Genomic DNA, 5,649 nt, shown 5'->3' on the forward strand with positions numbered 1-5,649 from the left:
GGTTCGCTGAGTTATTCTTGTTTGTCAATCTTGAAGCCCTTACTATCTGGAGAGCAAAAAGAGGTGATGAACCCTGCTGTTTGTTTGCTTATCTTTGAGATATTATGCATCTCTAAACAGGAGCTACAGAATTCTCTAAACAGGAGCTACAGAGGCCCAGTTCATGAGTGGATGTCTCATGAGACTCCCCAGAAAGGGTCTAGGCCCCTCTTGCTGTTTGGGTGGTTCAACCAAGGTCAAGAATGCCACATTCAAATCATCACTTAAAGAAGCAAAGAAATGAGCTTAAGTTAGAAACAAGATACCTCTATCTGAAGGGAAGTATAATCAGCAAAAGAGAAACACAATAAGATCAGAAGTAGAAAAGCAGAATGTGGTAACCAAGTGAAGCTCGAGGTAACCCCAGCAGTGAGGGTGTGGTGAAGCAGAGGGATCATGATTTTTGTTTCCGGGCAAATAAGAAAGAACACCCAAAACCAGATCCCGGCAAAGAGTTAGTATCTGTTTGCTTTCGGTTATACTTCGCCTTCTAGAAGCCTGTGAAGATCATCTCCACATCATCCCCATAAGATTTTAAAGGGGCAACTGTGGTCCAAAACTTTGATACCCTAGGAATGGAAGGGGTTCTGGAGACAAACTTAGTATTTTACTTCCTTTCTCAGAAAGCCCCATGGCTCATTTCATAAATTATAAACTTGGCATTATATATTTAATTGTAATTTCTTCCTCGGCCTATGTAAAGTTCAATCTGAAACAATTTCAGAGTGTTTCATTTTAATGACTGAAATGTGTATTCAATTCCTATAAAAATCCAAAGCTCCATTCCAAATGTAGTTGACATTCTCCAGCACATCATTTAAATTTCTCTTAGTAATTTTGTGCCTTCTGTGAGACAGTGATATTACATTGCCTCAAGGCATTTTGCATATTTTGTTGATTTTAACATTTAAAGTCCTGGTGCTTTCTACACTCTCATTATGCCCCTGTTCATGTCCCAAATTTCCCTCCACTCCTCACTAGGAAGCAGTGAGAAGGTTTAAATAATTTGTGTGATTTTTAAAAAGCAATTTCTCTGGGATGGGGACAATTGAGAGTCTGAGATGGAAGTATTGATGAAGATATCAGAATTCAGGGAAACTTGTTCTGGTTATGATGGCTATGAGGAAAAATAATGGGATCATTCTACCTATGATGTAGATGTCCTAAAAATAAAATGGAAGCCGAAGACTACAATCACTTTAAGCATTTAGGGAAAGGAAAAAATTAAAGATTAAACTTTCACAGGTAAACCCTGTTGAGTGGAGAATAAATATTTGGATGAAAACAGCTAACAAGAATATGCTAATTTGACCCAAAGGCAGTGCCAAGAGCCATTATGTCTATCAAATTTTTCTAGAGAGTTCTATTCCAATGTATTAGTCTGAAAAGCAAGGCCCTAGCTCATGTCTGCTTATTACTTATATATATTTTACTTTATATATTTTATATTATAATATCTAGACTATGACTATAATTATCTGGTCTATAATATGTAGGCTATGTTTCTAAATAGTATGTAGAGGGGAGACATTATGAGTGGGTTCAAATCCTATCCCATCTTCAATAAATAAAATATTTATCTAACTTAAGAAGTCGTAGTGAGAATGAAATGGATAATACATTTACACTCCATAAGATGCAGTGTTAAATAAATGCTAGTCATTATTAATGATTATTACCACTGGCCAGTAGAAGTCATACAGTTCGGGTAACAATGCTAGTCATTTTTATATATTATTAATAAGCCATTTAAACCACCCTCAAGTGTAATCATTACCATTTCTATAAAAAAAATTGAGCTTCAGAGAGTCAAATTACTTTTCCATTGCCACCTAGCAAATAACTGATAAAGTCAGATTTAACTCATATCTGGTTCATTCCAAACCTCATTCTCTTTCAACTATGTCATTGCTTCTTCAAAAACAATGCAATTTAACATAAACAGAAAATAGCACACATATTCACCTTATTAGGGTGGGCAAATTTGGTAAGTAAAAATAAAAAATTGTTGTCTGGGTGCAGTGGCTCACGTCTGTAATCCCAGCACTTTGGGAGGCCAAGGCAGGTGGATCACTTGAGGTCAGGAGTTCGAGACCAGCCTGGCCAACTTGGTGAGACCCCATTTCTATTAAAAATACAAAGCAGCTGGACATGGTGGCACATGCCTGTAGTCCCAGTTTCTTGGGAAGCTGAGGCAGGAGAATGGCTTGAACCCAGGAGGCGGAGGTTGCAGTGAGCTGAGACCGTGCCATTGCACTCCAGCCTGAGCAACAGAGCAAGACTCTGTCTCAAAAACAAAATAAAACAAAGTAAAATAAAAATTGTTCATTGTTTATACGAAATTCAAATTTAACTAGATATATTTATTTGGAAACTCTACATCTCAAAATACTTTTAGCTGTTAAACCTAGATGCTTTTTGGCTAACTATTGAAAATCAGGGATCTCACTTTTTGGTATGTATGTCTTCATTTGTTAGATGAAATTTAGTTAAGGGAGGGATCTTGTTCTTTATTAGACATCTCCCACCCATAGACTCACAGACTAATACCCAGACAGGTCAAAAGTGCTCCTTGTAGACTCTGCTTTATTCATGTTTGTGTCTCCCAACACTATATGTAACATATATGGGCACCCAAAAAATGCCCATGGCATGAAAACAGCCATCAAGTGTTCTTAGGAGTACTTGAGCAGGGAAGATTTGTGTGGCAAGAAAACATTTAGCACATGGTGTGTGCAGCAAATATGAAGCAACAAGAGCTTTGCGTAGCTCTTTGGCGACTTAGAAGTTAACACTTTTCTTTCCTCTACAACCAGAATAAACTTCAAATTCATCTATCCAAGCCCCATGTAATTATGTTTACTACTATTTTATTGAGTTACAGCTCAAAACAGAGAGAAGAGACTGATACTATTATATCTGGAATGTTAAATACTATGAATTGGTTCAAAACTCTGTTGTAGCAGAAATCATCATCAACATCACCACCACCACCATCGTCATCATCATCAGTATCATGTTACAACTAGTTGCTCACTGCATCATCTTTTGAATTCCATTCAGTGAGAAAATTATAAAATAAGAAAACCTTTTGGAAAAGGCAAAGGAAGCCCTGCTTAAGGTTTTGTCACAGGGAAGAGCAATCGAGTCTCTAAAATAAAATTACCACAAGAAACAGAAGCAGTGGTTTGGCTTGGAGGAAAAGAAAAGAAAATAGATTTTGATTTGTGAATTGGAAAAACTGGAACAAGAGCTGACCAAGAGCAGACTCGCATTCCGGGAGAGTAAATGCACCTAAAGAGCTGTACCCCTCACAGCCCTGGCCAGTTTTTGCATGGAGTTCTTTGACAGACTGTCTCTGGAGGGGTGGGCTTATCCCTTCTCGTGATGCTGGAAATATCTGCACTAGCAGCCATCAGAATAGTGGAAATTGATTAATCCAACCAGACTCTCTGAACTTGACCATCAGCACTGCTAATTATTTACTATGAGCAATTCTTCTGCTTTCTATGATCTTACACAATTTACTTAGCATCTCTGTGTCCCTATTTTCTCATCTGTAAAATGGGGTTAATAATGATTCCTATGTCATGTCTGTTGCACAAGCTAAGGTACTCAAATACTCACTGTTACTATCACCTATTTTTCACTGTACACAACATATTATGCAATGACAGTGCTTTAGTATTATAATTTTACAAATGCTTTAGCCTTTTGAGCCTAAAACAGTTTTGGCCTTGAACTTCCCTGATTCCACACTGAGGAAGTGGGAGGGGATTTCTCTCTTTAAAGACCCATCTCTCCTGGGCTGTAGGAGAAAAGCCTTCCCTCTGTTTCTGACACCAATTCTCAGGCCTAGTGACCTAGAAAGTGCCAGAGCGCCTCAGAAACTGACAGTGTGGTGGGTGCAGGTCATTTCCCAACTTCAGAATATGCACTTGGGTGTTAGTACCAGCTCTGAGATCTGGGGGTGCACAGGATGGCTACATAAAAAGATTCCTGGGCACATAAAGAGAGTTCTTGACGAGGGTAGGCACCTGCTAGACCATTAAGCTTTAATCACATCCCCATGTGTAATAGATACTCCTCACCCAATGATGCAGGCACAGAAAAATAAATAGTAGCATTAAATATTTATTCCATAAGGAGCAGAGTTACTTTTTTATGAAGGGCAAAAAAAGGAGTATTGCCAAGGTCAAGAGAGGAGAACAATATATAATTCTCCTATGGACCACTGATAATGAATGTCTCCTATATGTAACATTTTGATCAAGGAAAAAAGGACAAAACCCCTACAAGTTCTTTTGCAGTACCAGATCCTTTTTTTTTCTTAAATTGTGAATCCTATAGATTATTTTATGTTTTAGCATAGCATGTTTTAAATTTTCAGCAACTGCTAATTATGGTTAGAGACAGGAACTTAGAATAGCAATGTGTGATATTTGACTTTTTAAAGAAATATAGAAGATATCTTTACCCTTTGAGTAGATTTTATTTGTTTAAATTCCAAAGTATTTGGAAAAATGTAAAACTAGAAAAACAAAAAAATCCTATATCTGTTCATTATTTCCTTCCTCCTGATGAGTCATCTTGTTTTCATTTTGCTGACTCACTATTTCTGTGAGTGTTGTGATCCTAAGGCAACTAACTCTCATGTTTTTTGGGGTTTTGCTTTTTTTTTTTTTTTTTTTTAACCCCACAGCCTCCTGGTTAAAGCACATTTACAGCTGTTTATTTTCTTCTTTTCCCCCATCAGCTCTCAACACAAATACAGTAGTTACAATTCATAAAATTACAGTATGCTCTTCTCTTTTCAACACTTTCAGAAATACATTTAGTGATATGTTTGTGGATGGCAAAACAATGTCAACGTATTTATCCATCTGCCTTTCTACTAAATCGTAGATGGACTCAGAGTGTTTGATGTATACTGTGGATTATAAGTGCGGTCCTTAACTCTTCTGAGAATGGGTTATACCGAAAGCTGTAAGTATGAATTCATCATACTTTATTTAGAGTGGGAAATCTACACATCTCAGAATACCTTAATTCTATATTGATTCTACTTTAGAGGAAATATAATCTTTGGAGATTATTATGGCTAGAATTTTTTCTCTAAAAAACAAAGCAAACAAGATCATAGTAACCTCTTTCTTTCAGAAAAGCCATTGTAAGTTGTCCTAGGAAAAAATAAATAAAAGCTCATCAAATAAGACTTCCGTGTTCACTTCTGTCACATACACAAGCTGTGTGATAGCTTAGCTTAGGGCAAACCAGTTCTTCCACTCAGAAAAACTAGAATCGTCTGGATTAAATAAATAAGTAACATACTTTTTGAAGGCTCTGGAGAATTACTAAGACACATAGAACTTGAGGATCTGAGATACTGAAAAGAAGGAAAACAGATATTTCCTTCAGGGCATTTGCCAAATTTTAGAGCACAACGAGAGGCCAACTGGGAGGAGGCAGAGAACCTAAAACACTTTTGAAAAGATGAAAGTGCTAGAGAGACAAAATTTGGAGTTCAGGACTGCCCAGAACTAACACTTATAATTAACAGATTTCATTTTGCTGACTCACTATTTCTGTGAGTGTTGTGATCCTAAGGCA

General features: G+C 37.0%; 1 annotated feature.

The window, feature by feature from the left end:
• Window positions 4,557–4,757: a silencer, noted in NCBI's record as "peak6119 fragment used in MPRA reporter construct". NCBI's record gives its function as "represses an SCP1 promoter by STARR-seq MPRAs in K562 erythroleukemia cells {active_cell/tissue: K562}" and the evidence as "EXISTENCE:reporter gene assay evidence [ECO:0000049][PMID:32103011]".

The sequence above is a fragment of the Homo sapiens genome, chromosome 6, assembly GCF_000001405.40.
Source record: "Homo sapiens chromosome 6, GRCh38.p14 Primary Assembly".
Lineage (NCBI taxonomy): Eukaryota > Metazoa > Chordata > Mammalia > Primates > Hominidae > Homo > Homo sapiens.